Raw genomic sequence first — 17,908 nt, forward strand, 5'->3', positions numbered from 1 at the left:
TAATTGTTTCTTAATGATCCTGGGCTGACTCCTTGACATCACTGCTGTCTTTTCCAAGTACTCTCAAGTCATCTGCTTACTAATACATTTCAGAATATTTCCTGGGTTTCACATCAAGTCTATAGCATTTAAAATTTCTTCCTCCCAACTTCTCTTTCAAAATAATGATGTTTGCCCTTCTCCAATTCTTCCAGGACTTCTCTCAATATCCATGTTCTTAACAATTACCAACCATTTCCTCATCTCATCTATACATTTCTCTAGTGCCCACATATTTAGATTCATCTGGGAAGAATTGAGCTTAACGAAATCTGGAGCACCACTCCCTGAGGCACAGAAAGCACTTGCAGCTACAAAATACTGTAACCATGACTGCAAATCATCCCAGCAACAGGTTGGGAAACTTTATCTCCTTTATGGAGCATCTCCAATCTGGAAAGCCTGCATGTCCGCCCAGCTTTGTGCTGAGGGTCTGCTATGTACCAGGTATTTAATACATGTAGCACATTTAATCCTAACCACAATGCTGGGAAAACTGAGGTTCACAGAAAAAAAAGTTGACAAAGGTTTTACATCTAGAGTCAGGCTGAGTCTGGAATCAACCAGGTCTTTCTAAATCCCAAATGCAGATTCTCTCCACTGAGTCACACCTCCCTTTTTTCTAGGGCTCTTATACTCTCTTCTTGCCTATTGGGGTTTTCAATTCCTGTTCATTTATGCTGTTCTACACTTTCCAGTACTGAGACACTTCTTGGTGAAGGAAGTGGGGATTTGTCAGAAACTGAGGCCACTTTGCTTCTCCCCTCTCCTCTGTCATACATTATAGGCACTCCCCCAAGTGACTGAGCATATTCTAGCAAAAGAAACTTTCTTATTTTTTCATAAGCTTCAACTTATTCTACATTTTTATTTTGACTCCATCCTCACCCTCCACATGTAGCCTAAAATCCCCTTGGTCTTGTTGGTGAGCCTTGATTTCCCTGAGTCCTCAGGATGCGCATTTTGCTCTTTATCCTAAGGTTATCTTTTTTCTATCAGCACTGTTCTTTGAATTCCATTCTCCTGAACATCAGGGCCCTTCCCATGCCCTCTGTGCAGTCGTGATCTTTAACTAGGAGATTCTTCTCAGTGCCCTGCCCACTCTCCATCAGGGCATTCTATGCCCTAGGATACCCGTAAGCTGAAGACACAGCTGTCAACTAACTACCCTTTAGCCTCAGCTGACAAACACTCTAAGTTTCCCTCTACCTGGAGGCATTTTTCATCTTTGGAAGGAACTGAAGAAATGAGACCCATTGATTCCAAGTACAATTTCTGGAGAGATGCTGTCTGGTACTGACTCTACCACTTACACTTGGGCAATGTACTTAACTTGGTGAACTTGGGCAATGTACTTAACCTCTCTGGGCCTCAGTTTATTTATCCGTAGCATGGGGATAACAATTCTTCTAGGACAGATGTCAGCTATTACTTATCGTCAAATCAATTTTAATGTTGGCATTTTTGTCCTCTGGTAAATAAAAGAAGAAATAATTGAGGATTGAGAACTCTGAAGTTTGCCACTAAATTTACATCATGTGAGTGGTTACCTCTTCCACTTAGCAATAAGCAGCAACATAATTTTTGAGTTGTAAATATCATTACATCCAAGCCAAAAGTTGCAAACTCGAATACCAGTGGAGCAGGTTACATGACGACTGTCGAATTGGATAACTGATGACACTTTCAAGAGGGCAGCCCTACTTGGCACCCACATAAAACTGTGACCTCAAAATTACCAAATCTTCCTTTGCATTTGTCCCAAGAGATACCGGAAATCCAGACTTTTATGTAAAATTTCTCAATTTTTAAATGGCATCAAGTTATTTTTTCAATATCTAGCACTTACGTACTTACTAACAACATACCACCTGTTGGCAACCTCTGGCTTGCAGCCTGAAGTCTGAAGCCCCACTCCCCTAGTCACAGAACAGACTTGTAGCTACCACATGCTGTTACCATGACTACAAATAATCCCAGAGATAGGTCAGGAAACCTTATCTTATTTATGGAGCACCTCCAGGCTAGGAAACCTGCGTGTCCACTCAGCTATGTGCTAGAGTCACCCTTTTATTTGCCACAGATATTAGTTTACCACAAGGCTACTCTTGTAAGATCCCCCGGAACCTCCAGGTCAAATTCTCAGCCCATCCCAAGATTCCAGCCACTCACCGGTGATATTATTTATGGTATCAATTACTAATGCTCCTGAGATTAAGAACCCGGTAAAACAGATGCCAGAGAAGCTGTTGCTAAAATTGCCTATGTATGGTTAGAGACAAGGAGAACCCCACCCCTGCCCTGGACATTTGTGGAAAAGACGAGGAGGTTATTGGGGCCAGCATCCAACGTGTTCACTCTCAAGTCTGCTGAAGCCCACAAGATGATCCATTTGGGGAAACCAGGGCTGGCAGCAGCTGTTGAGTAAGCCTTGCTCATTTTGGGATTATAAGAGAGCTGAGGAAGCCTTGATAAGCCGCTAAGAGCAAAGTCTATCTTTGGAATCCTGCATAATTTTCCTGCAGACTTGATCCACAGGGAGCTAGAGCTAGGGTTAGTTAAAATTTAATGCCTATAGGTAGTCAAAATATATTTTAAAATTTTATTTCATCATTTTTTGGCTTTTTTTTCTTTTTGTGGAGAACAAGCCCTCACTATGTTGCCCAAGCAGGTCTCAAACTCCTGGACTCAAGCTATCCTCTCCCCTCTGCCTCCCTAAGTGCTGGGATTACAGGCATGAGCCACCATCCGGGCCTATTTCATCATTATTTATACTGGAAATAAATAAATAAATAAATAAATAAATAAATAAGAGCAAACTAAATGACTATCTGCAGTGAACTGCATAAAAATTATGGCACATAAGCCGGGCGCAGTGGTTAATGCCTGTAATCCCAACACTTTGGGAGGCTGAGGCGGGTAGATCACGAGGTCAGGAGATCGAGACCATCCTGGCTAACATGGTGAAACCCCATTTCTACTAAAAATATAAAAAATTAACCAGGCGTGGTGGCGGGTGCCTGTAGTTCCAGCTACTTGGGAGGCTGAGGCAGGAGAATGGTGTGAACCCAGGAGGCGGAACTTGCAGTGAGCCGAGATCGTACCACTGCACTCCAGCCTGGGTGGCAGAGTGAGACTCTGTCTCAAAAAAAAAAAAAATTATGGCACATCAATAATATGGAATCATAGGCAGCCAGCTATGGGATAAGTGAATTTTTCAAAAGCTATGTATAGAATAATATGTATGGTATTATTCCTTTTTGGTTAAAGCAAATAAAGAAAAAAAGGAAGGAAATAAAAATCTATGTGAATATATGTGTCAGAGTAAACATATAGGTGAGCACATAGGTTGAACAGGTTTAGAGACAAAAATCTGGAAAGCTACATACCAAACCATTAACAATAGTACATCTGGGGAAAGTTTTTATTTTTGTTGAATATACTTTGGCATTTCGTTTTGTTACAACAAGCAAGAAGTCATTTTGTAAATTTTAAAAGTGAATATATAAAGAAAATATTTAGTCCTTATCAGATCAACTCATTAACTCATTAGCTCATTAACTTAGCACCTACTGTGACCCCACAACTGTACTCTATGCCACCAAAAACATAAAAGAAAAAACTTCTGTCCTTAAGCATCATAATCCAGTAGAGGAGCCTATATGTATGGATAGTTTACAAATATTTTTCAAATTCTAGCAGTCCTTTCTTTTTCATAAGTAAAAAACAACTGTCATTATTTTATAGATGAAGGAAGGTGACATGCAGAGAAACTGATGCCAGCAAGTGAGAGAACTCTATTGTGATTCCAAATCCAGGAGTTTCTCTACCGAATGCTGATGGGTAAGTGTCTTCTTTCAGGTTTTCTGTTTCTCAGAGTGCCATGGCTATGAAGAGAAAATATATTTCAATAAAAACTAAGTATTAAGAAGCACTTACAAGTGCCTGGGCAGAGATGATGTACCCAAGTTTTCTAGTTTAATTTTCTATTCAAATGAGATTTGTCAGCTTATTATTACTCATCTTTCTTATTTATTTCTTTAAACAGAATCTACTCCAAAGATTGACCAAAAATCATGGACAAGACCCGGCTATCTTTCATGGAGCATTAGCAATGGCAAAGAACTTAGAAATCCTCTCTTTTGACACTTCCATTTTAAAGACAGGAAACTGAAGCCCAGAAAGTCCTGAAGGCTGTCATAACTGGTGATTAGTGGCAGAGCTGGGACTTGAATCTACTACTCTTTCAGCCCATCCATGCCATGCTTATCATTATGAATGACCCAGTGAAACATCCATATAGCATTCCTCAGTGCCCCACTTTACCAGGAAGGTGCTCTCATCAATTGCAATCTGACCTAAGCAAAATTCTCACTGGTTCAATGTTTCTGCAGACTGGCATTAATGGAATAGGCAGTCATGCTCATCTAATCATGTCTTTCTTTAAATAGCTTGGGCTGACATGTTGTTTTCTGTCCAGAAGATAGATAGGCAAACACCAGCACAACTAGCATTTATCAAGTATCTATTATAGGGCCCTCAATGAGATTAGGGTTTTTGTTTGCATTATTTTAACATTATCTTTAATAGTCTATGAGGTATTGAAGTCTATCTTATAGCTAATAAATAATGGAACCAAAGGCTAAAATCCAGGACTTTTTTTAAAAAAAGCTAGGTCTAGGGCTCTTTCTCTGTGTTTTGCCTTCCAGGGTACGGCAGAAAAACCACTGAATTTATCCCAAAGACTGTAGCTTCTTTAGAAGCAAAATATGCCAATAAAATCTCGGTTTCCAGAGGGGGAGTCAATGGAAATCAAATAAGAATGTATTTCATTCTGTCATCTCCTGACCTATAAAACAGAGTTAGAAGACCAGACTCCTGGAGAGTTGCTGCCATTAGGCCTTACAGGAGTCTCTGCTCATTTCTCGTTGTTCCAGATTTTTCAATCTTGTCTTCAGGCCAGTTTCTTGATCTCCTCTCATCACAGCAGCACTCCATCCTGTCCAAGCATAAGAAATCTGTGCTGTCTTGGACAGATGACAGAACTTAGACTTTAAACCACTGATTTTTTTGTGGTGGGCATTTAGGAGTGCTAAAGCCAAAAATAGATGCTCATTTAAATCTAAGGGTTACTCTCCCATCTTCTCACTTCCATCTTAATGTCACCTAGTTCTAATCAGGGTCTACTGCTTAATGCAGTAAGAGAAAAATGATGTTTTGTTTACAATAGCAGGTCCCATTGTGACTGTGTTCTTGTAGTGCAACTCTTTTCAAAGCAAAGTTTTCCCTGAGATAGTGAGCTGAAATAAATATATATCCCCTACTGCTGATTCTTCTTTATTTTTTTCTCTAAACAGAAAGGACAGTGCCATTGAAAGCATAAAATGCACCTAAAAAAATATTCTTCAGTAAAGCCCAATAGAATCAAGGTGTGACATCCCCAAGAACAGCCAAGTCACAAAAGAGCTAGTCATGCTGAAGGCCAAGTTAAATAACCCATAATTTTGGATCTCTGGGTCCCACTAGCACCCTTGAGTGTGGGCTTATAAAATTCCTGAACGGGCAAGACGGCCCCTGTTGAATCTTGCTTGACTTGGCCCCTTCATGGGTAACTCTTCTGTGATTTGGCTTTCCCCACACATCTCACACCTTCCCACAAGTGACCTTTTCACTCTGTGCTTGGCTTTTCTGTGGTGGGTTAAGTGTCTGCACACATTCACATCATCATGTTCCCGATGTGAAGATGACATGGTCATACATGCTATTGATCTCCAAATATTCAAAGGACATTGAAGCTCTGCTCAGGCTCCTGCAGTCTTTTCTGGGATAAGTATGGATATAAGGATATGGCAAGATGATGAATGCCCTACGTATATCTATTGTTCTGATTTGCGTAGCCCCTTGAGCTGCACAGCACTTCTTATAAAAGTGAGCTTCCACATGTCTAATGGTGCTTAGTCCCTTAGACTCTAAATCTTAGACCATGTGTTGTTATTTCATACCACCCCAGAGCCATTTCCTCTTATATAAAATTTCCAGAAATCCATAGGCATACTGCATCACGTGGCAGTGGGCTTCTGCATTTCCTTGGAGCATTATGACAGGCCACTCTAATTATAATCACTGGTTGTCAGCTTATCCTCTGTCTGTGTTAAGCAGTCTCACTTTCAACTACTCATCGTCATCTCCAGAAAGCCTCCCCTGAACTTTAGGCTGACCCAACTGCTCCCATAGTATCCATATTTACCTCTATTTTGGCATTTCCTCACTACAGTAATTGTTTCTATTTTTGGTCTGTCACCACAATAGACACATTAGAGCTCCTAAGTTGGATGGACTAGCTCTCACTTATCTGCATATTACCAACACTTAGCACTATGTCCTGCAGAAAATATACATTCAGTACATATTGGTGAGCCATTGTTGAAGGTTTAGTTGAATGGGTTAAGGTAAAAATTATTTCCAGGCCTGTGAATTAATTCTATTCCAGAACTCTTTCTGTTGCCAATATTAGTGTGATGAAATATTAAGTATGACTTGTGTTGACACTCAGACAGAAGGACATATGGCCCACTAGAATTGTCACTGCAAAAAGGCTAATTAGTTTAACTCTCAAAGGGTAACTTTATTTACCATGCCTTTGTTGGAGGGGAGGTGTTGAAAGAATGACTGACTTCCCCATGCTTTCACCTTGTAGGAGACAAGGAATTTGGCGGCCACATAGATTGGCCTTTAGTTTTGCCTATACCTCAGTATCCTTCAGTATTATCTTCCTTAAATCTTCCCAAAAGTCTGTATAAGGTTTCATGGACATTACCAAACTAAACTGCCTGATAAGACGTATGTACCCCTCAACCTCTGTTTCAACTTTTTATCTATCGTCTTCCCACCCTCCACTGAAACGCAAGCATGCCTTTGTCTCAGATATAGACTGGGAGCCCAAGAGATAATCTTTACCAATCTCAGCATCTCCAGTTTTCTCTGTTAAGCTACATGGTAAAGATGTCCCTGAGAGACTAAGTCTGGGGAATTTTTGTATACCAGAGGTTTGACCAGAAAACTGAGATTTTTCCAACTCTGGATCCTTTGGCTTTTGCCCTGATTATTTTACTAGGGCCTTACTCTTCTCTAATTCTTAACAGTTAATAAAAAGTCTTTCTGTTGCCATGGTTGAGAACAATGAGCCCTTGTCAGGATAAGATTTGGAGAGCTTTAATGAGAAGATGTATGTAAGCCCATGTTGCAAAGAGACAAAACAAGAATACAGAAAAAAGGCTCTGTTGATGAAGCAAAAACCCTCCTGAGACCAGCACACTCTGGAAATGGAAAATGGAACCAGTGGCATTTTGCCTATTTGTTCTGGGCACCATTCTGGATGAAGGGATAGCTAATTTTTCTCTGTGAAGATTAATTAGTGATGGGACCCAAGATAGTTGTTGTTGTAGAGGGTGCCTCACCCTGTGAGCTTCCTTTCTGAGGAGCACCACCAGCAACACCCTTAGGTCAAAGGCCTGAGCATTGTCACAGAGTTAGACAAAGCCTAATTCCAGAAGCTTAGTCTAGAAGCCATGTATGAATATAGTTTCCAAACAGACTGAATCTTTGGGGACTGCAAATAACATTACATGTTCAGGCCTTCCACACTCCTGCCTTGAGGTAGGAAGTATTATGCAAAGACCTGCAAAAACTACAGGCTGAGTGGAGTGTGATCCTGACACTCTAGAGATGACTTCCATATGCAAGTCATACTTGAGCTCTTTCTGAATGAAACCAAACAAGAGGTGATTCCTGTTATACTACAAGCTTATTTAAGCCAGGGAACATGGCTTGTGTAGCATTCTCAGAATTTTGCCCAGGAAAAGAAATATTTTCTAAAAGTCTGCCTTATCAAATATTAATGGTTCTAACCTCAGATTGCCTGAGTGTGACCTTTGGCAAGATTCTTAGTCTTTCTGCATTTTTCTCTCACCTATAATGTGGGTATAATAATAATACTGTCAGCTTCATAAAGTCGTTGGGAATTAAATAAGACATGGTACTAACTAAGGCACTTAAGCTGGCATGAATAAGCACTTGATAAATGTTTCTTGTTTTATACTTATCACTTGAGAAAAGCTTACTCAGCATTTTATAAATCCTCAAGATCTTTTAGGAGAACGGGAAGGAATCCTACTAAAAGATATATCTCACAGATGAACCGAACCCCAGTGGGGCAAAGTTAACTGTTCCAGATTGCTTTGCAAAGCATCTGAGAAGCTGGGACTAGAAATTAGCCTTATCTTTGACTGCTGGGTTTATAGGAAAAGCAGATTGAGATTGGCTCAGGCTAGGTTGGCTCAGGGGCTGGCAGAAGCTCCCTAATGCCTAACAAATTTGTTTCCTCTTCTTCCTATGCACTCAGCTAGACTATATTGCCCAGTTTCCTTTGCAGTTAGGTGTGGTCACTGGAGTTCTAACCATTAGAATAGAGAGGAAGTCATGCATCAATACAAGACTGGGCTTATGAATATCTCCCATGTACAAGTTTTTATTCTTTCTCCTCATAGTTTAGCTGAATGGAGAGGTACTGAGCTAAGTGCTGAAGATATTGGAGCCATCAAATGGAAGAAGATTGTTTTCCTAAATCATTGCTTGGAGAAGAGCCACTCAATGAGAAATTCCATGTTGAGTTGTGAGATGAGTGAGAAATGAACATTATTATGTTAAGATTTGGAGATTTATCTGTTACCTCATCTAGAGACAGCCTAAGAGAGGCTCTACCTGCTCATGTGTAGAGGAAGGATGCATGGTGTGGGCAAGATGAGGAGAACTCCAAGAATCTTCTTCGTGGAGTTCAAAAGCTTCCCTGAGAATAAGAGCTGACAGAGGTTGACTTGGCAATCCTTTGATAGCCCCCTTTGTCCACTTTGGCTTCACTAGGTGAAAATACTAAAAATGACTCAAAACCCCTTTGGTTTTCTGTGCCTCTGCAGAGCCTGCAGTAAAGTGTAATAAAAGTAGAAACTGTGAGTAGGAAGCATCTGAAGTGGGAAATGCCGTTAGGCTGGCCCATAAAAGATGAGTGCTATGAGCAGTAAAATGAGCTAAGAAGGAAAACATGATGAATGTTTTCTCGGCCTTAAGCAGCAAGATCCCATTTCAGCATCCCACGTGGCACTGTGTGCCTGGCTGGAAAAAGCAAGGGCCTCTGTGCAAAGCCTGACTCAGGGAGTGTGGCAGTTGAGCCTAACCCTGGGGCCCCGGCTGGGGGAGTAGAGTGGGGTGGAGGTGCTGGGGGTGGGTGGAGGGATGCAACTTGATTTCTTCATCACCTCCCAGGCCTTACTGACGCTTTCCATGTTGAAGGTTCCCATTGAGACACTGGAGGAAATCCTGAATTGCCCAAGTTACAGAGCAAGGACACCTCACATAGGGAAAGGGAACCCAGAGGTCATGGTGCCAGGAACAGCAGGGAGAACTTTATGAGATTTGACTCAAGAAAATGAATATCCTCTGCTTCAATCCCACTACCATAGCTCATACCACACAGAGAACATGTGTCTTTACTGTGCTGGCCCCCACCTCGCACCGGGACACCTTCCTCCTCCTAGGTTTAGGCAGCTTCCATGAATTCTTCGAAGTACGATTCAAGTTCAACTTTCTCCACGAGCCCACGACTTTTTATTATAGTCCCTGTAAATCTCATTTTTGGAAAAATATAGCAGTGGAAAGGCCTGGGTTGGAGCCCTGCCTTTGTTACTTGCAAGCTCTGTGATTTTGTGCACATTACTAACTTCTGTAAGTTTCGGTTTCCCTATCTCTAAAATAGGGATTGAAATATAAATCCTACAGGATGGCTGCAAGGATTACAGGATATTACCTTGCATAATGTGTAAGATGTAATAAACACTCAATAAAAATTAGTTTTCTTCTGAAATTTTGCAGCATATATGGTCTTTACCACCAATTTAATACTTTTATTGTTTCTTATGCACGTAGCTTGACTCTTCAACCAGGGTAAAATCCCCTTCTAGAACAGAATAATGTCTCAGATCATTATAGACTACCAAGCCATATTTAATATTTTTGCTTATTAATTACTGTTCATCATTAGTCTGATTGATATCAATTGGTTGGTTGATCATTAGTTTTAACCTTTTACAAAGTTAGTTAGAAAGGTGCCTCTCATCCTCTAAGAATGTCATGAAAATATGATTTTACTCGGGCTGTGTAGAAGATAGATTCATATTTTGAAGAGTCTCTAAATTACTCCAGTCCCAAGAAGACTTCAAAAAATTAGTATCAATGCTATACAAAGCTATTGTAAAGACAAAAATGCCTGGCCTACGCTGACATAATAACAGCTGAACACATCTTCCAGTGACACATGGCTGCCCTCAGCACGAGTTAGAGTAAGCCAATTCTAAGAAAATGGCTATATTTGTACTAGCTCAAACATCACCCTCTGAGAGCAGCCCTCTTAGAAAATCATATCTAAATAAGCCTTCGTTCTCATTGCCCAGTCATTCTCTATCATTCTATTATTTTTAATTTCCTCAAAGTCATCAATGCAATCTGAAATTATTCATTTACTTGCTAGTGTATTCAATGTCAGTCTCTCACTAGACCATGAGCTCCTAAAGGCAAGAACATGTCTGGTTGTTCATTGCTACGTTCTCAGTGCCCAGAGCAGTGCTTAACAAAGAGCATTATATAATATGTATTGAATTGAATCTGATGAACCTTGACATAAGTGTGGGGAACAAATCTCCAATTGATGATCATAAGCAAAAAAGCTTTTGTGAAATGCATCTTTTTGGCTGGGTTTCCTTGGGAAAACAACTCTCCTTTAGCTTACTGAATGCAAACTGGTACAACAGAGCTTCTCTGAAATGCTCAAAGTACTAAGCAGTGAATCACGTCAACCAGACAGCTCTGCTCTTGGATCTCAGCTCTCAAAACTCCCACTAATGAAAAAATACTCCATAGAAAAAGATATTAATCTATAGGCTGTAAGAAAGTTCTGAATATCTCTATCTTTACTAAATTGCTCCCTGAAATGAAATGCTATTATTTTTCCTCCAATGTTTATTCATTGTAGTGTCTTTTAAAATCTTATTTTGTTCTTAACCCACCATTTCTTATTTCTATAAAAATTCTGAGCATCCTTAAAAGCTCAGTAGAAGTTCTGCCTCACCAATGAAAACAATTAACCTCTTCTTACCCTAAACATCTTCTTTGAATTTCCAGAGCCTTTTATATCATGCACCTCATTGTGAATGGCTGCCTAAAAAGCTAGCCCTTTCAAGAAAGAAACCATGGTGTGATTTTTACTCTTCCTTATGTATAACGGATGCTTGCTAGCTACTATTTACATTTACACTAATCTATTACAGAATACTATATGAAGAACAATAAACCTTTGTTAATTTAGGTAGCTTTAACTTGGAGTAAATAATATTATTTAGCCATGCAACCATTTCTTATCCTTAAAAAAAGGCTTTGGTCAACAAATTAAACAATAAGTATGTATTGAGATTCTATAATAGATCAGGAACTGTCCTAGCTATTGAGGATGCAAAGATGAATAAGATAGCCTTTCCCCAGAAAAATGAGCAATTGTGGAGCACCTTAGACTATAGAAGAATAATCCTTCTAGTAAACACCCCTTTGTGTAATCATTATGCCAATTACAATGAATGCTCACTATTTCATGAAAGAGAATTGCGTAGAGCATATTCTTCACAATTCTTTATCCAGTTTGTCTTTTAAAAAACATTTTTATTACTTCTTCAGGTACACATGGAAACATATGCCATAATTCAGATGTAACTAACTTGGATTGTTCTAATTAACCCAAATTACAAAAATGTTCTGTACTTAATATTCTAAATGATTATTGAAATTATTATTCTTACTATTGGGTGAAAATATGGAGATTTTTATGTCAAGTTTTCTGATTGGCATACTATGATTATCTATTACCCCAAACCTCAAAGGGTGTTAGATCAGTGAACAATGTTTGGTATGCTGCTAAATTAAAAAGTAATAATAATAACCGTAAGCTTCACATGTAGTTGTTTTTGTTATACCATTATGAAACCAAGGGGTGATGCAAGGTTTCCAAATAGGAGTGGTTTTCTAAGTTTTGAGGCATGTCATTCCCAGAGAGCCTACAATCCGTGGAGGTACTCAGTCAGTCATTGTCCAGCTATTTTGGCAATGATCTGATGGCTAATGGAATTAACTAGCATGCCACCCTCTGCAGTTATTTATAAAACCAGAGCAATGAATAAGGTTTTTGCTCTCCCAAACCAACCTCCATTTCCAGTGAATGGCTGTGGTGGTTGGCAACCTGAGCCCACCAAATCAAACCCTGATGAAATGGGTCAGTGAGCAACCAGTGTAACTGTCCACCAGGAAACAGTCTGGAGTAGGGGCAAGAGCAAGAGGTTTCAAGTCCTGGCTCTGCTGCTTCCCAGCCACTTAAGAATGGGCAGGTCACAAAGTTTATCTTTTACTTCTTCATTTGCAAAACAATACTTCCTGGCCTGTCCACCTTTCATGGTTATTGTGAGGCTCCAGTGAGATAATATATGAAAGTTCTTGTAAATGGCATAGTCCTAGCCTCTTTATTAGTCTAAGTTGTCAGTTGGTGCATGACAACTCAAAACCACTCTCCCCATGCTGCAGTGATGCATTCAAGGAGGATAGTACATACTTATTGTTCAATATACCAAGCAAAATCCAGAGGCACTCTCACCTCAATCCCTTAAGATATGTCTTCTTTCCTGATTGTCCAAGTGCCTCGTGGTACTGCTGAATGACAGTGCTAATTGCACAGACCCTAAGGTCAGATTGCCAGCTCCCCACTTGGTCAAATATTTAACATTTTATGAGCTCGTTACTGGATCTATAAAATGAGGATTCAAATGTTACCTATCTCACAGAATTGTGGGAGGATAAGATAATCACGTAAAACACATGATGTAGTATCAGGTGGCACACAGTAACAATGACAATTACTATTAGCCTCACACAGGTTTCTGCAGCTAATATGAAGGCAAAAATCCCATTAGAGTCAGAAGATCTGGTTTCAAGTCCTCGTTCCCTCTGTGACAGGCTGGATAATGCTACAAATTTCATTCAATCTCTCTGGAATGCAGTTACTACTTATAAAAGGATGCTAATATTCACTTCATGGGGCCTATATAAAAATCACATAGAGTAATATATATATAACTTCTATACTCACTGTAATGCACGATGAAAATGCACAAGGCTGTTATTTGATTTTTCTGTATGAACAAACATGCAGAAAACAATTGCAAAGATTTTATTTAGCGGCTTTCTGTGCTTGGCACTTAGAAACAGAGTTCCGTGCATAAGGGCAAATTTTTGTACACCTTTTCTTCATACATATTTTACATACCCTTTTATTGCCCCCTTTTTCATATTCATAATATTGGATTCCCCACTAGGCACATAAATACATTTATCTACAACACCTCAAAACCAGAAACTTTAATAATATCTGTATTATTTTACTTGGTATTATTTGCATTTCCACACCATTTAAAAATTTTAGCTTGCACCAAGCTTCACTTGCTTTCTTACCATTAAAAGATTTGAAGGGAAAGGGAAAGATGAAGGACAAAACCCAAAACTTCAAAATGCAATGTACTATTTGATAAAAATGGAGATCTAAGGGCAGGTAGAAGGGTATAGAAGACCCATCTGCAATTCCCTGGGACATGAGGGGATATTTCCTGCCACAGGGATAGCGGGCAGGCATTCTAGGTCAGGTGTCTGGATCCGGCACCTGGAGGCCAGGCCTCTATTTGTTGCCTCTGCTCTTGGTATCATCTTCCGAGATTATAAAACTATTCCTTCTTCACACCCTTTTATTTTCCTTCCCCTACCAGGCTGCATGCTGTGGAATCAGCACTTCCCACGTAGTGCACCTCTCTTCTGGATCACAGTGGTCAAAGCTGTGGGCTCAGGATGCATTCCTTGCTCTGTCCCTCTGACCAATGCCCTGACCATGCTCAGTGTGCCAGAGAGGTTTACTCCTCAGTAATGCCATGATTCTTTCCATAACCTGTAGTGGGGCGGGCGGGGTTTGGGGGGACAAACCAAAAACACGTCTCCTTGGTGAATTAAAATTCTCATCATTGCTCACACTTTCTCTGTCAGTCTTGCTCTCCACCTCGTTCCTGTTCTCTATTCTTTCTGTTTGTCTTTCTCCTGTTCAGCTTCTCTTTCTCCCTCTTTCCACGGGCACCACTGGGAATATCAATGATAGCATACAAGTGAAGAGAGCCAAAGTTCAAAAGCAATCTTTTTCCGGAAGCCAAGTCCAGTTGTACTGATGTCTTTCCACTCTCATCCATTGGGAGGGTCTCCAGGATACATGGTTCATTCCAGAAGCAGAGGAAGCTGCAGGGGAGAAAGACTGGCAGCTACTGCTGGCCCACTCCATCTAGAGTTGTACACAGACAAATTCTTGGTGAAAGCACCCATTCTGGGCCTCCCTCCACAGAGTTCACCCAGTTCAGAGTCAGTGTGCATGTATGATTGCATGTGTATGAATTGTGTATGAATATGTATGTGTGTGTGCACGTATGTATAGGTAGGTCTGTCTGTATGTGGGTGTGTATGTGTAACTTTTCATGGCTGCCACACACTAGCATCTCCCTTAACATTATGACGAAGTGATTATTCAGTCTCTTCAAAGGCCACTCTGGAACAGACAATGCTTTATAAAACTAAGGTCTGGGAAGGCAGAAGAATGGCCACTGAGTTGCGGATGATTCTATCGCAAGTATCCTTCACTGGCTTAAAGGTATCTCTTGTTCTTGGGTATATGTCTTCGGCCAGAAAAAAAAAAAAAAAAAAAACACGGTTCCTGTTTTTCAAAGACACTGGACTCCCAAAGAGGAGGATCTGACCACGGAGACTCTGGGGCCTTGATTGCCAAATGCTCCGTGGTGTTTGGACTGGCCTTTAAACCATGTGCACGGACATCTGGGAGGAGGAGCCTGGAACTGCCCCATACTGCCGGCCATCACAAGTGTTGGTTGCCTGTTGGTTATTGGGTGAAGGGCTAATCATGTGCATGCTGTGCTCCATCCCTGACGGCAGGTACTGCCTCTCTCCAAAGGCCCCGTTGGAAGGAGAAGAACAGAGTAAAGTGCTTTGAGAGGCGCTCAGTTTTTCCGGGCTTGCAGCTAGCCTAGGGGAAGTGGGGAAATTGTATCCATACAGGTTGTAAGGGTTGTGAAGGGAGAAGGCATTGTAGGAGCTCTGCTGCATGTGGCTGCCCCCGAACATGTGTGGTGATGAGGAGCTGGAGGCAGCATTGCCTGCCTGCATGACATACTGAAACTGGGAAGTGGGAAAGGACCCCAGCTGGCCACCGTAGGCTTCCATCTTGCTGTTGCCAGGCAACGAGGGAGGAGTTGGTATTCCTGAGATCAGGGATGGAGTCCTCTGAGGCATGAAGGTTTCAGAGGGCTGAGTGGCTGAAGTGGTGCCACTCTGAAGCCTGTTGTAGCCACTGTCACTCAGCCCTGGGTAGCTCTGCAAGGCAGCCATGTTGCTTCGGGCACATGGTGGATAATCAGAGAGGTTTAGATTACACAGCTGGCTTTCTCGGCAGCCCACATTGAAAGTGTTGGGGGCCAGATGAAAAGTTGGAGGAGAACAGGATGGAGATAAAAGATGAGAAGAAGCCGAAGGGGATGGTGTCCCAGTGCTGGAGGTGGTTGGGGAAGTGCCTGTGCTGCCTCCTGAAAAATAAAACGTGAATACTATTGAGACAGAGTCTTTTAAGATGAGTCTGCCTAAGTCACATGCAAGCCATACAGGAGGTGCCTTCAAATGTCCAAGATAGGGCTGATTTTTACAGAACCATTTTTCCTCTTAACTCAGCAGACCTATGCTAAGCGATTCCACCTGTGGACATATACACAGTCATACAGTCTCTCACACACACACACACACACACTCCAGAAGGATCAAAAACAACACTAAACTCTTTTGTTTGTTTTCTCTGTAAGAGCCTTAGTAAGTCCTTTGTATAAAAATAACAATAAACCTTCCAAGATTCACGTTGCCATTTCTCACCATCAAATTCACTTTCTAATAAGACCTCTGATGTCAGCATTAAAATCCACTAGCTCAGCTTTTCCCATTCTTAATGGAAATGCATTAAATATGTATTTTATTCAAAGGCTGTTGCCTACTTTGCCATTTTTAGTCTTCCAGCCAAACATGCAGGACACCAACGCGGGACCCTAATCACAGAGGAAATGGGGTAATGGAAGACAGTGCCAAGTCAAAATTGAGGCCTGGGGGTGCAGAGCAGTGGAGCCTGGGGTATGAGATTGAAGTTGCATCACATAAAAGACATTGGGAACACAATTATAAGAGCTAGATTAGAATAAAGCAGGGCTAACCCAAAACAAAATCATTATGAACCAGAGGCTCTGCTGATCTCCTTTTATAGGATCATGTCCATTCTCAGAGACTGGAATAAAGACTGTAAATGGAGCCTTTGGAGTTTTAATATTTATCAGAACAAGAAGCTAAAAAGGCCTTAAAGTGACCTGAGAGTCAGGAGATCTGGGTCTGCTCACAACTCTGCCACACTAACTGCCCAGGTAACCTTAGGCACATCACTTACCCTCTGCAGGTTACAGTTTCTTCATCTAGAGATGAGGAATTAACTTAGATCAGCGGTTCTCAGGCATAGAGGACCTGGCAGCTTTTAAAAGAAATGCTGACGTTCCAGGATCCTACCTCGGATGAACTAAAGGAAAGTTTCTGGGCATGGAACCTCCACATCAGTATTGTTTTAAAAGCTCCCCCAGATGTGTAGTGTGGCTTAAGAACCAATCATACAACCCAAATTCCTCATTTCTAAGTACTCAGAATAGTCTTTCCTAAACTTGAGTGTGTATGAGAATCAGCTAGATGGCTTGTTAAAGCATAGATTGCTGACTCCATCCCTAGAGTCTCTGATTCTGTAAGTCTGGGGTGGGGCCTAAGAATTTGCATTTCCAACAAGTTCTCAGGTGATGGTCCAGAGACCACACTTTGGGTTAGAGGAACTCCAGATTCCTTTCATTTCCAAAAGTCCCTAAATCTGTATTTGAACGAGTTGATCTTATGATGTGTGAATGTTAGAGCTAGACAGGTGGATGATGCACCGACAGACTGAGGACCAGTTCAATCCAACCTCCTTCAGTGTGTTCTCAGATAATTTAAGAAGGCCAAAAATGACCTTTACGAGCCTCCTCTTTCCCAAAGTCAGGAAGCAGCAGTGCAGCATCTGCCTCCTGTCTCATCCAATGGAAGTTAAAGACATGGGTGAGTGCTAGGGCTGCGGGGCCCTTTATTTGAATTCTGGAAAGAGCAGCTGCTTTGTCTTCCATAGGGAATCTTCCGTGATGTAACTTCCTCCTTCACAGCAAGGTTAGGAGTTTCCCAGCATTGTCAAGAGCTGTGATTCCCCCAAGGAATGTAATATCCTTTAGATCACCTACCCACTCATTTTGGGACTCTTAGAAGCTGAGCATTATAAAAGGGTAAAGGGCACTTTAGGTATAAAAGAGCAGGAATAAGGTTTTTCTCAGTGAAGAAAATGTTATAAAAACTAGCAGGGGTTGGGCACACTGGCTCATGCCTGTAATCCTAGCACTTTGGGAGGCCAAGGCAGGTGGATCACTTGAGGTCAGGAGTTCAAAACCAGCCTGGCCTACATGGTGAAACCCCGTCTCTACTAAAAATACAAAAATTAGCTGAGTGTGGTGGTGGGCGCCTGTAATACCAGCTACTTGGGAGGCTGAGGCAGGAGAATCTCTTGAGCCCAGGAGGCGGAGGCTGC

General features: G+C 41.2%; 1 protein-coding gene across 8 annotated transcripts in view; it reads right to left on the minus strand.

The window, feature by feature from the left end:
* The window catches only part of TBX15 (T-box transcription factor 15), a 106,464-nt gene continuing 101,895 nt past the window's right edge, over positions 13,340-17,908 (minus strand). For all 8 annotated transcript variants that reach the window (NM_152380.3, XM_047429138.1, XM_047429131.1 and 5 more), the window contains one exon: positions 13,340-15,809. In NM_152380.3, coding sequence (NP_689593.2) covers positions 15,025-15,809 — 785 coding nt within the window. In that variant the 3' untranslated portion in view covers positions 13,340-15,024. The remainder of the gene's footprint in view (positions 15,810-17,908) is intronic.

Source organism: Homo sapiens, chromosome 1 (genome assembly GCF_000001405.40).
Source record: "Homo sapiens chromosome 1, GRCh38.p14 Primary Assembly".
In the NCBI taxonomy this organism is placed as follows: domain Eukaryota; kingdom Metazoa; phylum Chordata; class Mammalia; order Primates; family Hominidae; genus Homo; species Homo sapiens.